The 22,773-nt window shown below is 40.7% G+C and overlaps 1 pseudogene; it reads left to right on the forward strand.

Moving 5' to 3' along the window:
* Nucleotides 7,006–22,693, forward strand: PRYP2 (PTPN13 like Y-linked pseudogene 2; annotated as a pseudogene).

A 22,773-nucleotide genomic window follows, 5' to 3' on the forward strand; every position in this document is an offset into this window, starting at 1 on the left:
GTGATAGTTTGCTGAGAATGATGGCTTCTAGCTCATCCGTGTCCCTGCAAAGGACACAAACTCATCCTTTTTTATGGCTGCATAGTATTCCATGGTGTATATTTGCCACATTTTCTTAATCCAGTCTCTCATTGATGGACATTTGGGTTGTTTCCAACTCTTTGCTATTGTAAATAGTGCCATAATAAACAAACGTATGCATGTGTCTTTACAGTAGCATGATTTATAATCCTTTGGGTATATATCCAGTAATGGGATTGCTGGGTCAAATGGTAATTCTAGTTTTAGATCCTTGAGGAATTACCACACTGTCTCCTACAGTGGTTGAACTAATTTACACTCCCACCAACAGTGTAAAAGCATTCCTATTTCTCCACATCCACTATAGCATCTGACTCTTTAATGATCGCCATTCTAAGTGGCATGAGATGGTATCTCATTTTGGTTTTCATTTGCATTTCCGTGATGACCAATGATGATGAGCATTTTTCCCTGCATCTGTTGGCAGCATAGATGTCTTCTTTTGAGAAGTGTCTGTTCTTATCCTTTGCCCACCTTTTGATGACTTTTTTTTCATGTAAATTTGTTTGTGTTCTTTGTTGATTCTGGATATTAGTTCTTTGTCAGATGGGTAGATTGCAAAAATTTTCTCCCATTCTGTAGGTTGCCCATTTACTCTGATGGTAGTTTCTTTCACTGTGCAGAAGCTCTTCAGTTTCATTAGATCCTGTTTGTCTATTTTCACTTTTATTGCCGTTGCTTTTGGTGTTTTAGTCATAAAGTGCTTGCCCAAGCCTGTGTTCTGAATGGCATTGCCTAGGTTTTCTTGTAGGGTTTTTATGGTTTTAAGTTTAATATTTAAGTGTTTAATCCATTTTGAATTAATTTTTATGCCACATGTAAGAAAGGGATCCAGTTTCAGCTTTCTACAAATGGCTAGCCACTTTTCCCAGCACCATTTGCTAAATAGGGAATCCTTTCCCCATTTCTTCTTTTTGTCAGTTTTGTCAAAAATGAGATGATTGCAGATGCATGGTGTTATTTCTGAGGCTTGTCTTCTGTTCCATTGGTCAATATATCTGTTTTGGTACCAGTACCATGCTGTTTTGTTTACTATAGCCTTGTAGTATAGTTTCAAGTCAGGTAGCATGATGCCTCCAGGTTTGTTGTTTTTGCTTAGGATTGTATCGGCAATGCAGCCTCTTTTTTGGTTCCATATAAACTTTAAAGTAGTTTTTTTCCAGTTCTCTGAAGAAAGTCATTGGTAGCTTGATCGGAATAGCATTGCATGTATAAATTACTTTGGGCACTATGGCCATTTTCAAGATATTGATTCTTCCTATCCATGATCATAGAATATTCTCCCATTTGTTTGCGTCCTTTTTTATTTGTTGAGCAGTGTTTTTTAGTTGTCCCTGAAGAGGTCCCTCACATCCCCTGTAAGTTGGATTCCTAGGTATTTTATTCTCTTTGAAGCAATTCTGAATGGGAATTCACTCATTATTTGGCTGTTATTTGTGTATAGGAATGCTTGTGATTTTTTGCACACTGATTTTCTATGCTGAGATTTTGCTGAAGTTTCTTATCAGGTTAAGTAGATTTTGGGCTGAGACAATGGGGTTTTCTCAATATACAATCATGTCATCAGAAAACAGGGACAATTTGACTTCCTCATTTCCTAATTGAATACTCTTTATTTCTTTCTCTTCCCTGATTGCCCTGGGTAGAACTTCCAACACTATGTTGAATAAGAGTGGTGAGAGAGGGCATCCTTGTTTTGTGCTGGTTTTCAAAGGGAATGCTTCCAGTATTTGCCCACTCAGTATGATACTGGCTGAGCGTTTGTCATAAGTAGCTTTTATTATTTTGAGATACATTCCATGAATGCCTAGTTTATTGAGAGTTTTTCGCATGAAGGACTATTGAATTTTGTCAGAGGACATTTTGTATCTATTGAGATAATCATGTGGCTTTTGTCATTGCTTCTGTTTATGTGATTGATTAAATTTATTGACTTGCATAAGTTGAACCACATTTGCATCTCAGGGATGAAGATGATGTGATAGTGGTGGATAAGCTTTTTGATGTGCTGCTTGATTCAGTTTACCAGTATTGTACTCAGGATTTTCACCTCGATGTTCATCAGGGCTATTGGTCTAAAATTATCTTTTTTTGTTGTGTCTTTGCCAGGCCTTAGTATCAGGATGATGGTGGCCTTATAAAATGAGTTAGGGAAGATTATTTCTTTTTTTTATTGATTGGAATAATTTCAGAAGGAATGATACCAGCTCCTCTTTGTACCTCCAGTAGAATTCCGCTGTGAATCCTTCTGGTCCTGGACTTTTTTTGACTGGTAGGCTATTAATTATTGCCTCAATTTCAGAACTAGTGTTTGTTCTATTCAGAAAACCAAATCCTTCCTGGTTTAGCTTTTGTAGGGTGTATGTGTCCAGGAATTTATCCATTTATTCTATATTTGCTAGTTTATTTGCATAGAGGTGTTTATGGTATTCTCTGATGGTAGTTTGTATGTCTGTGGGGCTGGTGGTGATATCCCCTTTATCATTTTTATTGCTTCTATTTATTTGATTCTTCTCTCTTTTCTTCCTTATTAGTCTTGCTAGAGATCTATCAATTTTGTTGATCTTAAAAAAAAAAAAAAAAAAAAAAAAAAACCCAGTTCCTGGATTCATTGATTTTTTTTGAAAGGTTTTTTTGTGTCTCTATCTCTTTCAGTTCTGTTCTGATCTTTGTTATTTTTTGCCTTCTGCGAGCTTTTGAATTTGTTTACTCTTGCTTCTCCATTTCTTTTCATTGTGATGTTAGGGTGTCAATTTTAGATCTTTCCTGCTTTCTCTTGTGGGCTTTTAGTGCTATAAATATCCCTCTACACACTGCTTTAAATGCGTCCAGAGATTATGGTACATTGTGTCTTTGTTCGCCTTGGCCTCAAAGAACATCTGTTTTTCTGCCTTGATTTCGTTATTTATCCAGCAGTCATTCAGGAGCAAGTGGTTCAGTTTCCATGTAGTTGTCTACTTTTGAGTGAGTTTCTTACTGCTGGGTTGTAATTTGATTGCAGTGTGGTCTGCGAGACAGTTTGTTGTGATTTCTGTTCTTTTACATTGGCTGAGTAGTGCCTTATTTCCAATTATGTGGTCAATTTTAGAATAAGTGTGATGTGGTGCTGAGAAGAATGCATATTGATTCATAATGCATAATGCTGTTGATTTGGGGTAGAGAGTTCCATAGATGTCTATTAGACCTGTTTGTTGCTGAGCTGAGTTCAGATCCTGGATATCCCTGTTAACTTTCTGCCTCATTGATCTGTCTAATATTGACAGTGCAGTGTTAATGTCTCCCATTATTATTGTGTGGCAGTGTAAGTCTCTTTGTAGGTCTATAAGGACTTGCTTTATGAATCTGGGTGCTCCTGTATTGGGTGCATATATATTTAGAATACTTGGCTCTTCTTCGTGAATTGATCCCTTTACCATACGTAATGGCCTTCTTTTTCTCTTTTGATCTTTATTGGTTTAAAGTCTGTTTTATCACAGACTAGGATAGCAACCCCTGCTTTTTTTTTTTCTTTCCATTTGTTTGATAGATCTTTTTCCATCCCTTTATTTTGAGCCTATGTGAGTCTTTGAATGAGAGATGGGTCTCCTGAATACAGAACACTGATAGGTCTCAACTCTTTATCCAATTTGCCAGTCTGTGTCCTTTAATTGGGGCATTTAGCCCATTTACATTTAAGGTTAATATTGTTATGTGTGAATATGATTCTGTCATTGTGATGTTCGCTGGATAGTTTGCCCGTTAATTGATGCAGTCTCTTCATAGCATTGAAGGTCTTTACAATTTTTCATGTTTTTGCAGTGGCTGGTACTGGTTGTTTCTTTCCATGTATAGTACTTCCTTCAGGAGCTCTTTAAAGGCAGGCCTGGTGGTGACAAAATCTCTCAGCATTTGTTTGACTCTAAAGGATTTTATTTCTCCTTCACTTATAAAGATTAGTTTGGCTGGTTATGAAATTCTAGGTTGAAATTCTTTTCTTAAAGAATGTTGAATATTGGCCCCACTCTCTTCTGGCTTGTATGGTTTATGCTAAGAGATCCACTGTTGGTCTGATAGGCTTCCCTTTGTGGGTAATTCAACCTTTCTGGCTGCCCTTAACACTTTTTTCTTCATTTCAACCTTGGTGAACCTGACAGTTATGTGTCTTGGGGTTGCTCTTCTCAAAGAGTATCTTTGCAATGTTATCTATATTTCCTGAATTTGAATGTTGGTCTGCCTTGCTAAGTTGGGGAAGTTATCCTGGATAATATCCCAAAGAATGTTTTCCAACTTGGTTCCATTCTTTCCATCACTTTCAGGTACTCCAGTCAAATGTAGATTTGGTCTTTTCACTTAGTCCCATATTTCTCAGAGGCCTTGTTTGTTTCTTTTTACTCTTTTTTTCTCTAACCCTGTCTTCTCACTTTATTTTATTAATACGACCTTCAATCACTGACACCCTTACTTCCATTTGATCATATCGGCTATTGAAGCTTGTGCATGTGTCACAAAGTTCTCATGCCGTGCTTTTCACCTCCATCAGGTCATTTAAGGTCTTCTCTACACTGTTTATTCTAGTTAGCCATTCATTTAATCACTTTTTGAGGTTTTTAGCTTCCATGTGATGGGTTCGAACATGTGACTTTAGCTCAAAGAGATTCGTTATCGCCGACCTTCTGAAGCCTACCTCTGTCAACTCATCAAAGTCATTCTCCATCCAGTTTTGTTCCATTGATTGTGAGGAGCTGTGATCATTTGAAGGAGAAGATGTGCTCAATTTTTAGAATATTCAGCTTTTCTACTCTGGTTTCTCCCCACCTTTGTGCTTTTATCTACCTTGGGTCTTTGATGTGGTTGACCTACACATAGGGTTTTGGTGTAAATGAACTTTTTTTTGATGTTGAAGCTATTCCTTTCTGTTTGTTAGTTTTCCTTCTAACAGTGAGGTCCCTCAGCTGCAGGTCTTTTGTAATTTGGTGGAGTTCCACTCCAGATTCTCTCTGCCTGGTTGTCATGAGCAGAGGATGCAGATGCCGAAGAGTAAATATTGCAGAACAGCAAATATTGCTGCCTCATCCTTCCTCTGGAAGCTTCGTCCCAGAGGGGCAGTTGCCTATATGAGGTCAGCCCCTATCGGGAGGTATCTCCCAGATAGGCTACACAAGGGTCAGGGACCCATGTGAGGAGGGAGTCTCTCCATTCTCAGAGCTCAAATGGCATGCTAGTATAACCACTACTCTCTTCAGAGCTGTCAGACAGGGATGTTTAAGTCTGCCAAAGTTGTCTGCTGCCTTTTGTTCAGCTATGCCCTGCCCACAGTGGTGGAGTCTAGAGGCAGTAGGCCTTGTTGAGCTGTGGTGGGCTTTGCCCAGTTTGAGCTTCCTGGGTGCTTTGTTTACCTACTCAAGACTTAGCAACGGGGGACACCCCTCTACCAGCCAGGCTGCCACCTTTGGGGTTGAATTCAAACTGCTGCATTAGCAATGAGCAAGGCTCTGGGGGCATGGGACCCACCAAACCAGGCATGGGAGAGAATGACTTGTTCTGCCAGATGCTGTGACCTTGGGAAAAGTGCAGTATTTGCACAGGAGTACCCCCATTTTTTCCAGGTAGTCTGTCATGGCTTCCCTTGGCTAGGAAAGGGAAATCAACCAACCCCTTGCAATTCCCAGTAGAGGTGATGCCCAGCTCTACTTCAGCTCACCCTCTGTGGGCTGCACCCACTGTCCAACCAGTCCCAAAGAGACGAACCAGGTACCTCTGTGGGAAATGCCAAAATCACTGATCTGCCTTGATCATGCTGGGAGCTGCAGAACAGAGCTGTTCCTATTTGGCCATTTTGGAACACCCCCAGGAAAAAATAGGATGCATTTTTAAAGGTATTTTTTTTTTTTTTTGAGACGGAGACTCATTCTGTCACCCAGGCTGGAGTGCAGTCGTGTGGAGAGTGCTTCCTCCACACACTTCCCCGTCCCTTTCAATCAGCTGGCTGTGAGATCATTGAAACCAGAGATCTGAGGCTCAGGACAGGCCCAAGCAGGGTTGTGTCTGCCTGTCTGCATTTCAGGGTCACTGTATGGTAGGTTCAGTTCTTTGCTAGAGAAAAGGCTATTGTGTTACCAGAGGAGGGCTTGTTGAGTTGATTCGAGAGACAATACAAGCATCAATATTTGGAATGTCCGAGGTTAGTGTTGGGGAAACCAGTCCCACACCACCCAGTGGGTACCCTGAGTCTGGAGGAGACAAAGGAATTAGAAAGAGAGAGAATAAACATTTAAAAGGTGCATCTAGAGGACCAGAGCATTGAAGGCTTGCTCATGGCCCATTGCTCTTGGGCTTCACCCAATTTATTGGTTTACAAGCTCTTTGTTCTCAGGGCAGCTGGGAGGGGGAGAAATGGATGAGGAAAAGGATTAATCAGAGAAGGAGAACTCCTGAGCCATTCAGTAAGATGTTTGGCACTGGCGGTTTCTGTGAATTTCCTTGAGCAAAAGTGTGTGTCTAACCTACTTAAGATCTGTAACTTATCGGGACTGAAACGGGTGGGAGCTGGTTTCAGGAGGAGCCAAGATGTTTGATTATACTCCATTGCTTCAAGGGAGTGTTATCTCCCTGAGCAACCTGTGGAATACTGCTGAGCAGTTATGCACTCGGGGCATAAATACGTGAAGGCAATAAGGAGACTTTTCTACTCAGAGGCTGCCCATGGCTCCCCATGGGTTTCTCACACAGGGGTGACCAACTCAACTGGCACCCCAGAAACTCTCTTTTCCAGTTAGTAATTATGGGTATTTGGTTTGGACCAAAGACAGGATAAGAGATAAACAAAGAATATTGGGGTGGCCCTGTGGTGACAGCATTTTCCAGACAGCAGGCCTGCTTTACCTGCTGGGAAGAAGGCTGGGCCTCAGAGTCCCACAAAACTTCTTCTTCCATCTGATCTCTTTTAGAGGGACATGAATAAAATGGGCCTCCACAGTCCCAAGACAACACTCAAGGACTTGGGCTTGGACTTTCCTGGAGACAAGACAATTTGAATGGCACTGACTGCCAGGTACTGTCATCCCATGGGCCACGAGACCATTTCGCCTGTTCAGTTCCCCTCTACTCTTTATGGGTGACTAGGGCATGGAATGGGTGTCGAGATGACAGGGCTCTGTCTCTGGGATAAGGACAGACCCCAGGGAAGGGGAAGCCACCAGCCAGGAGCCCAGGCCAGGGGCCAGGTTTGGGGAGCAGTTTTCTCTGATCGTATGCTTACTCCTGCAGCCTGACTCATCACCTGAATTTATGTCTATTTTGGAGAATGGAGAAAACAGACTTAGAAAAAGACACTTGTGGGCCTGTCACCTAAAGACAAACCCAGCTGTAATTCTGGTGTGTTTATTTTTAGCTTTTTTTTTGGTTTCTCTTTTCTCATGTTTCTGCTTCATATCAGTACTTTTTTGAGCACACTCCCTGCACTCTGTGATCTTCCTTTGATGAGGAGGATCCTTTAAGATAAGAAAAGTGAAGGCTGGCCAGCTGTGGATCTGGTCTACATTTGGGGCTGGCCTATGTCTTGTCTGGCCTTCACATCGTGTGTACTTTTTCTCCTCCTTTCCACCTACCATTAGGATATTATCATCTTTCTTGGCACCTCTTTTGCCTGCTTATATTTAGATCCTGCACTGCCCAAGTGTGTGACCCTTGGTGGGTTCACGTGACTTCTCACCTCTAAAATAGGGATGGTGCCAGGACCTGCCATGGGGATTGTTGCAAAGATTAAGTGGGGGTGGTTATCAAAAGCCTAAGAGTACCATTGAGACACAGTGAGCATACATGAAATACCAACTGTTTATTATCAAGTGCTGCCTAATTGTTCTTTAGGATCAACCATTGTTTATTCACGTAACTATCAAGCTCTTGTTAATCGTTTTCCTATTTTCAATACTGGAGAACAATACTTCATTGAAAGTCATAGTAAATAAAGTGCTAATGTATTATCAGTTTCAAGTAATAGGCTTTATTAAGTGCCTCAAGGGCGCCAGGTCAATGAGAGCCTGACCCAAGTGTTTGCAGCCACAGAGAAAATGGGAAAGGCATTGCAATTTGTGATATCCTGGGATCCACAGCCACGAGTGGTCAAATTGAAACAGGAAACCTCATTCCTCAGCTTGGCTTCAGTTTCTTTCCAAGTCCTACTGCTCTGGCCTGAGAGAGCCTCTGCCCATCAAAATATCGTGTTCTTTGTGTCCCCCAGGCCACTGTAGGGTAGTGAGATATACCAGTAGGGGCCCACCCATGATGTTGCCACCCTCCCTCTCATCTTTCTTGCTCCTTTCCTCTGCCCTCTGGCTGCTTACAGTAACATGCTGGACCACTCCATGGCTGCACCTGAGTCGTGGCTGATGCCACTAGCACTGGCATCCTCTAAGGAAATTTCCTTCCAGACTGGGAAGTTGGTCTAAAGTTAGGGGCTGGACTTCATGATGCACACTGCAGACACCTCTGTGGTTGTGTCTATTGATACCCTTGGTGATGTCTACATGTGGATCTGCTTTGGACAGATCTTGAGTTTTTCAGCTGTATCTGGTGATTACTTGGGTCTCATTTGAGGGAGTGGAAGTGTGGGTAGAGCCAGGATTTTCTGCTGGAATCTGTGGTGCTTCATTAGACTTGGAACCAGGACAGCTGGAACAGAGACTATTCCTAGAGTCTCTGATACCATATATTATTTCTCATATATTTTATTTTGAAAATAAAAAATATATGCACATGACTGAAAAATACAGAGGTGAGGCAAGAGTTACACAGAAGGAGCTGCCACCATGTGCACCTCACCCTAGTCCCCTGAACTACCTGTTAACAACCAGGTACAACAGAGGAAGACTGAGTTTCTTAGACTCCCACCTTTCCTCCACCCTCAGCCAATGGTAGGAATATGATGATTTTAGTTTCTTTCTTAGTTATCATTGACGTTGTAAGTAACTGTAGAGTATAAATATTTAGATATACATCTTGTTGATCCAATACAATAGAATCTTGTGACTTTCCTCTTGTAGGAAGTATATTAGTACTGTGAATTCCCATACATGTCTTGGTATTCTATGGGTATACACATATTTTTTCTTTAGCTTTCTATTTTCTTGGAGTTTCTATTGCCTTTTCTTCTTTCTATTTAAAATTAAATTGTCTCCTTTTATCACATCCTTAATATCTTCCCTCATTTCTAACCTCCCATCTGAAAAGTCACTGCTGGATGCCTTCCTTTTTCCTGTTCCCACCCAACCAATATCTCTCTAGGCCTGGGATTGAGCTGTCATTCCAAGGGCTTTCATAACTGCCTCCCTGGGTTTTTACATGTCAAATGCTATTTCACTACTGCAAATCTGGGACTAATCTCCCAGAGAGCTAACCACTTTTCTTGTGGTTTATTTTTTTAATTGTGTATGGTTTTGAAATAATTTTTAGATTCTGTCTTCCATTTTTTTTCAGACTTACACATTTTAAGAGAATTTCAAACTGTTTTTCCTAATCTCTAAATTTTCTTATTATCTTCCTAAATTTTGTTACTTTCTATGGATGCAATATTTTCTACTTCTCCGAGACTATAGGGAGCATGCATTCTGAACTCTGCTTGAGCAGAGGTCATGGGGCCAGAAGGAAAAAGGAACTTAAAGACTCATTTCTCTGGAGGTGAGTTGTCTGTTTTACCTTACTTGACTTTTTTTTTTTTTTTTTTTTTTTTTTTTTGCATTTTTTAAAACCGTCGAACACTCATGTTTGCCTGTGCAATTAGTAATAAGGCTGAAATGAGGATGGTCACAGGTTCATTTCACATTGGGACAAGAGGAACTGGCCTTCAAATCAGGGTTCTACACATGGGAAGAAAGATTTCCACTGGGAATCCCTAAGCTTCCTTGTTTCCTCTGCAGAAACTTTCACCTTCAGTTGTCCTTCTGCTGCCTTGGCATGGTGATGCTCTTCCTCCACTTGCCACCTGAACACACAACTTTGGACATTGTGCTCATGGCTTTTCCCTTCTCTTTGTCTTGAAGAGAGACAATGCAACCCATTTCTCTACTGTGATGGAACCAGAATGTTCATATTAGAACTGGAAGATGATGTCCTCTACAGCATAGGGCACATAAGCTTCCGCATGAAAGAGGAAATACCAGAAAATAGACACAAGGACAGGAAGATCACTTTGAACTATAAAGGTCCTCAGGGGCAACTGGGTACTGTGTTAGGTGGTCACTCTTCTGTGCAGAAGGAAGGACTGTGTGAGCCTTTCCCTCAGGCCTGTTCTGTGTCTGAGCTCAGGGCCAACTTAATTCTCATTATACAGCCTCATAGATTAGGAAAAGAAAAGAATCTGCCTTCTCAGGCCTCCTGCCCATTCATATTCTGAGCTGCGGATCGTGATTCCTTATTTAAAAACAGCTTCATTGACGTGTGATCAGCATATGGTAAACTGCACATGTGCAGAAAGGAGAACTGATGGTTTTCTCCATGTGAGTATTTCATTCACCACAAGGCCAGAAGTGCTATGAAGGTCATGAAAACGTACCTTCCTCCTGGCAATAATGATCTCTCCCTGGCCAATCTAGTACCACAGATCTGCTTCTTTCACTAAAATTTAGTGGTATTTTATAGAATTACATGTAAATACAGTATGTACTTGGATCTTTGTGCATCGTTCTGATCTGGGTTCTTTTATTCGGCAGAACTACTTTCAGAGTCACTCTGTTCTGATTGCATCAACAGTCCATTCCTTTTTATGCCGAGCCACACACCATGGTGTGGATGTGCCACAGCTTGTTCACCCTTCTTTTGTGTATGGGCATTTGGGGTTCCTGGTTTGGGAACATTGTGTATAAGGATGTCATGAATATTTATTTATGTATATAGCCTGTAAACTCGCCTTCATTTCTCATCATTCATTCCTAGGAGGGCAGTGGCCACATCATGTCATGGTAGGTCTGCATCGACCTTGCTAAGGAACCACTGTGCCTTGTGCTAAGTGTTTTGTCCATTCCCTGCTTTCTGTCTTGCTCCGTCTGATTTAGTCATACTAACCTCTTGTCTCCTTCATCCTCAAGGGCAATAACTTCTTAGCATACCACCCTTCCTTTACACTTGGAATCACCAGCTCCTTCTCTATATGCTGGCTTTGATTCCCTCACTAAAGTTGCCTTCTGTGACCCATGTGTAACACATTGCCCTCAAAACATCCTATGTATGAGAAGGTTTTGGGATAAGAGACTGTTCCTGATGAGTATCAAGTACCTACAATGGCTCTGAATGGAAGAAAGATGACTGGTTGTGTCTTGTCACCCATTGTCCCTGGAGCTCATCTCGATTGATAGAAAGAAGACTGGGTGTGGCCTGGACATACATTCAAGTGACTCACAAACTTTTTCTAAATGACAACTGGAGACCTGGCTGGGGGCTGGAACCTGAAGTTACTTGGAAGTGGTGTGATTGAAAGTGAGTCACTCAATCACCTGATCTTGGCCCTTTTCTCTACATGTGGGATTACCCATACCTGGCAGAGTCACTGTGAGTTCACCTGAGCAAGTCACCTGCACGTGGCGGTGCTCAGAAAATGTTAATTTCCCTTTACTTAAGTGGAATGACACATGGATATTATATGCTGAGGTCTGGATTACAATAGAGCAAGATGCAGAAGACCTTGTAAACCCTGAGGAGACATCACTGATCACTGGGTGTCTGGATAGGCAGCATAGAAAAAGTGACCTGGAGCTGGAAATGGCCAGACGGTGTCTTACAGTTATCTAAACAGGCATGAGTGGGGCAGGAGAGGGATTACCACTTTATACCCACTAGAATGTCTTTTTTGTTTTTTGTTTTTGAAAAATGGAAAGTTGGAGAGTTTCTGCAGCAAATGGAACACTTGTGCATTGCTGGTGAGAATGTGAAGCGGTGGTGAGGGTTGCACAATAACATAAACATACTTACAAATATTTAGATACATGCACAAATGTTTAGATTGGTAAATTTTATGTTATATTACTTTTACCACATACAATAAAGGCTTCCTGAGAACTGATCCTGAAATAGTTCCACGTGGAACAAAACAAGATCCTTCTGTCCCAGAGTGAGTAGGAGCCTTTTATTTTCTTGAAATGGAGTCTTGCTCTGTGGCACAGGCTGGAGTGCAGTGGTGTGGTCTCTGCTCACTGCAGAGCTTTGACTGTGGCCCCAACCAGCTAGTGAGACTCACATTTATTTGGTAAAGAATAATTGACCAAGGCTCAAGTCAACACCACTAAAGGGTAATTGACAGTGTGGAATTCCCAATTAGAAAGCAATTTAGCACTGTACTAAGTCAACCATTAATCTTAGGACCGTATGAGTAAGCAAGCTAGTTAGATAAACACCCCACTTTAGTGTGTTTCTACTCTAACTTACTTAACTAAAGGGAAAAGGCCATTTTCAGCCAAGTTTATTACTGGAGCTTATGTCAACTCCCTAGGCCTTGCAAGAAGGTTTGTATCTGCTAATTTTCCCCACCATCTTGACTGAACCCCAACAGATATCAAAGCAATAACAGGAATTTCTAGAGTACAAATTAGTTTCTGTGAAAATTGAAAAAATTTCAGTACATACTTTGCAATGCTTAATACTTGATACAGATTAGAAATCTGGAGGTTTACCTTCTTAAACCTGCTTTTTCAAAAGTGAACCAAAATGTCAATTCACTTGTTTTTGGTCTGCTCATTTTCCTTCACCTTTTGCGACATGGCACTGCTTTTGATTGACATTTGAATACAGAGATTAATTTATTAAAACATTTCTCACTGTTCTTTTCCTTTTTGCTTTTAGACATTACAAGTGAAACTTCTGGTAATTTCAACAGTGCACACTGTAAATAAGAATAAAAACTGGTCGGCATCTGGCAATATGGTAGAAAAGTAACAGCTCTGATCTGCAGCTCCCAGTGAGACAAACACAAAGGACAGTTGATTTCTGCATTTCCACCTGAATTACCCAGTTCATCTCACTGGACGTGGTTAGACATTGAGTGCAGCCCACAAAAGGCAAGCAGAAGTAGGGTGAGTGTTGCCTCACTCAGGAAGTGTAAGGGGCTGAAAACTTCCTTCTTTAACCATGGAAAGCAATCAGGGGCTGTGCTATCAAGCCCATAACCTGCAGTTTCCCCATGGTTCTTACGACGCACAGACCAGGAGATTCCCTAGTGTGCCTGTACAACCACAGAACTGGGTTTCAAGCACAAAACTGGGTGGCTGCTTTCACAGAGGCTGAGCTAGCTGCAAAATAATTTTCATACCCTAGTGGCACCTGGAACACCAGTGAGACAAAACCAGTCACCCCCCTGGAAAGGGGCTGAAGCCAGGGAGCCAAGTGGTCCCACTGAGCAGGCCCCACTTCCATGGAGCACAGCAAGCTGAGATCCACTGGCTTCAAGTTCTCACTACCTACATAGAAGCCTGAAGTCAACCTAGAATGATAAAGCTCGGTGGGGAGAGGTTCGACCACAATTACTGAGACTTGAGCGTAAGGTTTTCCCCTCAGAGTGTTAAGAAAACTGCCAGGAAATTTGGGCTGCATGGAACTCACAGAAGCATGCAAAGCAGGTGTGGCCACATTGGCTCTCTAGATTCCTCCTCACTGGGTAGGGCATCTCTGAAAGAAAGGCAGCAGCCTGAGTCAGAGACTTATATGTAAAACTCCCAACTCCCTGGGACAGAACACCTGAGAAAAGGGATGGCTGTGAGTGCAACTTCAGCAGACTTAAAGACTCCTGCCTGCTTGCACTGAAGAGAGCAGTGTATCTCCCAGGACAGTGCTCAAGCTCTGCTCAGGGCAGACTGGCTTTTCAAGTTTGCCCCTGACACCTGTGCCTCCTGACTAGGAGACCCTTTCCCGCAGGGGTCAACAGACACTTCATAGAGAAAAGCTCTAGCTGGCACCAGCCAGGTATCACTCTGAGTCAAAACTTCCAATCATTGCTGTTGTGCAACTTCATATGGTGATACCCAGGCAAACAGCAACTGAAGTAGACCAGCAAACTGTAGCAGACCTGCAGAAGAGATGCCTGACTGTTAGAAGAAAAACTAACAAACAGGAAACAGTGACATCAACATCAACGTCAACAAAAAGGACTCTCACACAAAATCCCAGTCCAAAGACATTCAGTATCAAAGATCCCAGGTAGATAAATCCACGAAAAATGAGGAATAGCCAGCACAAAACAGCTGAAAATTCAAAAAATTAGAATGCCTCTTCAACTCCAAATGATCGCAACTCCTCTCCAGCAAGGGCACAAAGGTGGATGGAGAATGAGGTTGATGAGTTGGCAGAAGTAGGCTTCAGAAGGTCAGTAATAACAAAATTCTCTAAGCTAAAGGAGTATGTTCTAAACCAATGCAAGTAAGGTAAAAGCCTTGATAAAACGTTACAGGAGCTGCTAACTAAAATAACCAGTTTACAGAAGAACGTATATGACCGCATAGAGCTGAAAAACACAGTGCAAGAAACATTGTGAAGCAAAAACAAGTATTAATAGATGAATCAATGAAGAGGAAGAAAGATTATCAAAGATGGAAGATCGACTTAATGAGATAAAGCATGAAGACAAGATTAGAGAAAAATGAATGAAAAGCAACAAACAAAGCCTCCAAGAAATATGGGAGTATGTCAAAAGACCAAACCTATAATTGATTGGTGTACCTGAAAGTGATGGGAAAAATGGAACCAAGTTTGAAAACACACTTCAAGACATCATCCAGGAGAACTTCCCAATGGAACAAGACAGGCCAACATTCAAATTCAGGAAGTACAGATAACACCACTAAGATACTCGCTGAGAAGAGCAACAGACATATGACTGTCAGATTCTCCAAGGTTGAACAAAAAGAAAAAATGTTAAGGACAGCCAGACAGACAGGTCAGGTTATCTACAAAGGGAAGCCCATCAGACTAACAGAGGATCTCTCTGCAGAAACCCTACAAGCCAGAAGAGAGTGGAGTCAATATAAAACAACCCTAAAGAAAACAATTTCAACCTAGAATTTTATATTAATCCAAACTAAGCTTTATGAGCAAAATAAAAATAAAATTGTTACAGATAACAAAATGTAGATGGTTTTGTCACCACCATGCCTGCCTTAGAAGAGCTCCTAAAGAAAGCACTAAATATGGAAAGAAAATACCGGTACTCACCTGGTGCAGTGGCTCACGCATGTAATCTCAGCATTTCGGGAGGCGTAGGTGGGCAGATCATGAGGTCAGAAGATGGAGACCATCCTGGCTAGCACAGTGAAACCCTGTCACTACTAAAAATACAAAAAAAATAGCCGGCTGTGTTGGTGGGTGCCTGTAGTCCCAGCTACTCAGACTCACGGGAGGCTGAGGCAGAATGGCAGAAACCCAGGAGGCGGCTTGCAGTGAGCCAAGGTCACGCTACTGCACTCCAGCCTGGCCAACAGAGTGAAACTCTGTCTCAAAAAACAAAAAACAAAACAAAAGAAAATCGGTACTCACCACTGAAAAAAATAGCAAAATATAAAGACCAACAACTCTATGAAGAAAGTGGATCAACTAATATCCAAAACAACCAGCTAACATTCCCATGCCAGGATCAAATTGACACATAAGAATATTAACCCTAAATGTAAATGAAATAAATTTGCCAATTAAAGTACACAGATTGGCAAATTGGATAAAGAGTCAAGACCCTTCGGTATGCTATATTGAGGAGAACCATCTCATGGGTGAAGACACACATAGGCTCAAAATAAAAGGATGGAGGAATATTTACCAAGCAAATGGAAAGTTACCAAAAAAAAAAAAAAAAAAAAAAAAAAAAAAGCAGGGCTTGAAATCGTAGTCTATCCTAAGGCAAACTTTAAGCCAACATAGATCATAAAAGACAAAGTAGGGAGTTGCGTAATGGTAAGGAATCAGTGCAACCAGCACAGCTAACAATCCTAAATGTATATGAACCTAATACAGGAGCACTCAGATTAAAAAGCAAGTTCTTAGAGACTTACACAGACTTAGATTCACACACAATTATAACAGGAGACTTTAACACCCTACTATCAATATTACGCTGATAAATGAGACAGAACTTTAACAAGAATACTCAGGACGTGAACTCAGCCCTTGACCAAGCAGAGCTAATAGACATCTACAGACGTCTCCACCCCAAATCAACAGAATATACATTCTTCTCATCACCACGTAGCACTTATTGTAAAATTGACCACATAACTGGAGGCAAAACACTCCTCAGCAAATGCAAAAGAATGGAAATCAAAACAAACAGTCTCTCGCACCAGAGTGGAATAAAATTAGAACTCAGGATTAAGAAACTTATTCAAAACTGCAAAATTACATGGGAACTGTAAAACCTGCTCCTGATTGACCACTGGATAAATAACAAAATTAAGAAACAAAGAAAGAAGCCGTTTAAAATCAATGAGAACAAAGACACAACCTACCACAATCTCTAGGACACAGCTAACGCAGTGTTAAGAGAGAAATTTATAGCACTAAATGCCCACATCAAAAGTGGGAAAGATCTAAAATCAACACCATAAAATCACAATGAAAAAAACTAGAGGGACAGACATAGTGGCTCATGCCTGATATTTCAGCACTTTGGGAAGTTGTGCCAGGCAGGTCACCTGAGTTCAAGAGTTCAAGACTAGCCTAGCCAACAAACATGATGAAACTCCATCTCCACAGAAAATACAAAGAAAAAGAAAGCCTGGCATGGGGGCTCACACCTGTAATCCAGGATACGTAGGAAGCTGAGTTGAGATAATCTCTTGAACAGAAAAGATAAAAACCACAGTGAGCTGAGGTAGCACCACTCCACTCCAGTGTGCATGACAGAGCAAGACACCTTCTCAAAAAAAAAAAAAAAAATTAAAAAAAGGAAGAAAGAAAGCAAAAGAGCTGGAGAAGCAAGAACAAACATATCCAAAAACTGAGACAAAAAAAGAAATAACTGAGATAAGAACGTAACTGAAGGTGATAGAGTCAGGAAAATCCCTCATGAATCCAGGAGCATTTTTGTTTGTTTGTTTGTTTTTTGTAAAGATTAACAAAATAGATACACTGCTAGCCAGACTAATAAAGAAAAAAAAGAAAAGAATCAATTAGACATATTAAAAAAGGATAATGGGGATGTAAAAACTGATCCCACATAAATACAAACTACCATCAGAGAATACTGTAAACACCTCTATGTAAATAAAGCAAAAAATCTATAAGAAATAAGTAAATTCCTGGACACATACACTTCTGCAAGACTAAACCAGGAAAAAGTAGAATCCCTGAAGAGACCAACAGATTCTAAAGTTGAGGCAGTAATAGCCTACCAACCAAAAAATGCCCAGACCAGACAGATTCACAGACTACTTCTACCAGAGGTACAAAGAAAAGCTGGTGTCATTTACTTCTGAAACTATTCCAAACAATAGAAAGAGAGGGACTCCTCCTGAACTTATTTTATGAGGCCAGCATCATCTTAATACCAAAACCTGTCAGAAACCAAAAAAAAAAAAAAAAAAAAAAAATAGGCCAGTATTCCCGATGACCATCAATGTGAATATTCACAATAAAATACTGGCAAACTGAATCCAGCAACACATCAAAAAGCTTATCCATCACGATCAGATCAGCTCCAACGAGCAAGGCTGGTTTTAACATATACAAATCAACAAACGTAATTCATCACATAAAGAGAACCAAAGACAAAAACCACATAATTTTCTCTCTCGTTGCAGAAAAGGCCTTAGATAAAATTCAACATCCCTTCCCACTAAAAACACTCAATATACCAGGTATCGATGGAATGTATCAGAAACTAACGAGAATTATTTGTGACAAACCCATAGGCAATATTATACTGAATGGGCAAAAGCTGGAAACATTTTCTTTGAAAACACAGAACACAAGGCACAAGACAAGGATGGCTTCTCTCACCACTCGTATTCAACATAGAGTGGAAAGTTCCACCCAGGGCAATCAGACAAGAGAAGCAAATAAAGGGTATTCAAATAAAAATAAAGGAAATCAAATTTTCCCTGTTTTTAGAGGACATAGTTGTATATTTAGAATACCCCAGTATCTCACCTCTAAAACTACTTAGCAGTAGACAAGAAACTTGTCTTTTGTATGAGTTTGCTTAAGCTTATAAGCAACTCCAGCAATCTCAGGCTACAAAATCAATGTGCAAAAATCACAAGTATTTCTATACACCAATAATAGAAAAACAGAGAATCAAATCATGACTGACCTCAAATTCACAATTTCTCCAAAGAAAAAAATAACTAAGAATAAAAATTACAAGAAATATGAAGGACTTCTTTATGGAGAACTACAAACCAGTGCTCAAAGAGAGGACACAAAAATATCATGTTCATGAATAAGAAGAATCAATATCATGAAAGTGACCATGCTGCTTAAAGTAATTCACACATCTACAATGATCTGATCTTTGACAAGCCTGAATAAACAAGCAACTGGGGAAGAATTCCCTGGTATGGGAAAACTGGCTAGCCATATGGAGAAACCTGAAACTAGATCCCTTTCTCACACCACATAATTAACTCAAGATGAACTAAAAGACTTAAACGTAAAACCTAAAACCCTAAACACCCTAGAAGAAAATCTACACAATACCATTCAGGATATAGGCATGGACAAAAACTTCATGGCAAAAAGACCAAAAAACAATTGCAACACCGTCCAAAATTGACAAATGGGACCTAATTAATCTAAAGAGCTCCCCACAGCAAAAGAAAATATCATCAGAGTGAACAGGCAACATACAAAATGTGAGAACATTTTTTCAACCTATCTATCTGAAAAAAGTCTAATATCAAAAACCTACAAGAAATTTAAAAAAACTTACAACAAAATAAAAAACAAATCCCATCAAAAAGTGGGCAAAGGATATGAACAGACATTTCCCAAAGGAAGATATTTAATCAGCAAACAAACATATATAAAAAAAAGCTTAGCATCACTGGTCATTAGAGAAATGCACATCAAAACCACAATGAGATACAATCTCACACCGGTCAGAATGGTGACCATTAAAAAGTCAGGAAACAACAGGTTCTGGTGAAGATGTGGAGAAAGAGGAATGCTCTATACTGCTGGTGTTAGTACAAATTAGTTAAATCATTGTGGAAGACAGTATGGTGATTCTTCAAAGATCTGTAACCAGAAATACCATTTGACCCAGCAATCCCATTATGTGGTGTGCCTCCAGAGGATTATAAATCATTCTACATAAGGAAACATGCACATTTACATTTACTGCAGCACTATTCAGACACAAAAAAGACATGGAACAAACCCAAATACCCATCAATTATGGATTGGATAAAGAAAATGTGGAACATATATACCATGGGATACTATGCAGCCATGAAAAAGAATAAGTTCATGTCCTTTTCAGGGACATGAATGGAGCTGGAAACAATTATTCTCAGCAAGCTAACACAGGAACAGAAAAGCAAACACTACCTATTCTCATGCATAAGTGGGAATGGAACAATGAGGACACAATGGGGCCTGTCAGGGAGTAGGGGGTAAGCGGAAGGAGATCATCAGGACAAATACCTAATGCATGCAGGGCTTAAAACTTAGATGATGGGTTGATGGGTGCAGCAAACCACGGTGGCACATGTACACCAATGTAACAAATCTGCCTGTTCTGCACATGTATCCTAGAAGTTAAATTATAATAAAAAATAGTCAAGTTAAATGACCAACTAAATAGTATCCATGAATTTATGATTATTCCATATATGGCTTTTACTTAATACTTTGTGCTTTGTGTCTCTAGGAAAGCAAAATAAAAATATGTTGTACCAAACATTTTAAAAGAATTTACTAGAAAGCAATTGGAGCCAATTTTTTTATCTGTTGATGAAGACAAGTGTAGATTAAAAACCAACTCTCCTAATGCTTGTCAGTACCGCAAGGTGCTCAGGATCAAAATAAAACTTCCAACCTAAGGATATCTGGCAGCCTCCAGAACTTTAAGAAAAGCCGAGAAACAAAGTATCCAGCTTCAGGCTCTTTCTAGGAGAGCATGCCCAAGGCCTTGGGGACCCTTGGACCCTGGAAGAAGGGCGGAAGTGGGGTAGGTGGGGGCGGTATTTGGAGCCACTGCCCCTCTGGCAGCCACTGCTGCTCCCCATGGATGGCTTGGAGTCTCAGCCTTCAGCAGAATCAGCAGGCTTTCCGCAAACAGTGTTTGGTGTGCCTGCCTGTTTTCCATCTCTGTATCTTCCTTAGTGATGTATCTACTCAGGTTTTACCTTGAAATTGGGTTGCTTATCTTTTTGAGTTTTAGGGTATCCTCGTATATTGTACATACAAGTCGCTTTTCAGATTAGTTTGCTAAATTTTTCTATCTGTGGCTGGCTTTTTGGTTCTCTTTACCGGATTTCACTTATTTTTTTTTGAGGTGATGTCTCATTTTGTCACCCAGCCTGGAGTGCAATGACCCGAACCAGCCTCACCGCAATCCCCACCTCCCAAGTTCAAAGGATTCTCCTTGCTCAGACTCCTAAGCATCTAGGATTACCGGCATACACCAGAAATCCCAGTTAAATTTTTTTATTTTTAGTACAGACGTGACTTCACCATGTATACGATGCTGACCTGCAACTCCTGTCCTCAGGTGATCTGTCCGCTTTGACCTTCAAAAGTAACAGGGTGTTTTACAGATAAGACATTTCATCTTTTAATAAAGTTCATATTATCCATTTTTTTCTTTCATGGACTTGCTAATAAATAATTACCAAAACCAGGCCCATGAAGATACTTTCCAATTACAACTTTGCAGTGAAAAGATTTAAAGTATGGGTATTTTTGACTAATTTTTTAACTATAAAATTTTTGTCTATGTTCATTTGTTTCCATATAGTTTCCAGCAGTTTTCTTGACACTTGTGAAACAGCTTTATCTTTTCCAAAGAATATTCTTCGCATTTTTGACAAAATCAGTTGACTTGGGACAGTTTGGGGGCTATTCTCTTCCACTTATCTGCTGGTCTGTTAAATTATGAATGCCACACTCTTCTTTATTACATTAGCTTTAGTGTAAATATTCATATCCAGATGTGTAATTCCTTTAGCTTTGTTCTTCTTTAGTCTTATTTCATCTATTCTAGGTTTAGGAAGAGTTTGTTGATATATTTACCTGGAATTTGATTGGGATATGTCTGAAATAACCATAAATGTACTTCTCCAGAACAAGAAACGTCTCTTTATTTATTTATTTATTTATTTATTTATTGAAAAAGAGTTGTGTCACCCATGTTGGAGTGCAGTAGCACCATCTCAACTCACTGAGATTCTCCCACTTCAATGACCCAAGTAGCTGGGAACACAGGCGTGCCCACCAAGCTCAGCTTATTTTTTTTTGTATTTTTGGTAGCGTTGGAGTTTCACCCTGTTCCCCAGGCTGGTCTCCGACTCATTGGCTCAAGTGATCTGCCTGTGGCAGCCTCCCAAAGTGCTGGGATTACAGGCGTCTGCCAACATGCCAGGACTCTCTGCATTTACTAATATTTCTGTTGATTTCTCTCAAAGGTGACTTATTGTTTACTGAATGAATTCTGCATATTTTGTTACATTTATACTTAAAGGACTCAATTTTTTGGGTAGTATTGTAAGTGGTGTTTTAATATTTCAAATTCCAATGATTTCTATTCATGATTGCTGATAGACAAAAAATCAGTTGAGTTTTATCTATTGATCGTCTCCTTTGCTTCTTTTTAATCCCCATTCAAGGTTTGGGAAGGTTGGCTCTATTTCACTTCCACTTCCTGAGACTGTCGCCTGGATTAACCCACCCCGAATTTCAGAAATTTTCCCAGGCTACCACCAGAGGGTGCACGGAGCCTACGCACTGAGCATGCAGAGCCCGCAAACAAACTCTCTGAGGAGCAGGGTGTCCTCACAGTGCCTCGGATAGCACTTCCTTCTCCTCAAGACACACCGGAGAGAGGCCGTGGTTTCAGGGTACCTGGGGACACCTGAGGCACGTTCGTAGTGAAGACTAAGCCTCCTTCATCTCAGGACCCGCCCAAGAGTGGCCGCAGCTTTGGCCCACCTGGGGTCGCGTCCACCATGAAGATGAAGTCTCTTTCTCTTCTGGACATGTCCAGGAGTGGCCGTTGCTACAAGACATCTGGTGCTACGACCAGGTGAGAATAAAGACGTCTCCTCAGGACCCTCCCAGGAGAGGACATGGCATTCAGACATCTGGTGGACAGGTGAGGAAAAGACCCCCTGTCTGCAGCACCCAGAACTGAGGAGGGTCACTGCTCTGAGCCTTACTTCCCAGCCCTGGCCTCCAATTCTGACTTTACGAAAGTGTCCCTTGAGCGAGGCAGTGACCACGCATTGTCACAGCTACCAAAGTGTGGTTTGCAGATGATCTGAGCTTGTTTCTGGCGGAGATTCTGTTACAGAGAAAGGAGAGGTGCTGAGTGGAACTACTATGACAGGCTGAGGTCAGGGGAGACATCACAACCTCCAACAACACTTTTTTCATGCTTTAATGACTCATTTTTCTTAGAGAACTAAAGTAGTTGAAACAATATAGAAAAAATTTTAAGTAGGCATATTAGAAGCTGAATTATTATTTAAGTTTAAATATATGGTATATGCCCGGTTAACAACATTTTTTCTTTTCCTGAGACAATCA

The sequence above is a fragment of the Homo sapiens genome, chromosome Y (genome assembly GCF_000001405.40).
Source record: "Homo sapiens chromosome Y, GRCh38.p14 Primary Assembly".
Taxonomy (NCBI): Eukaryota; Metazoa; Chordata; class Mammalia; order Primates; family Hominidae; genus Homo; species Homo sapiens.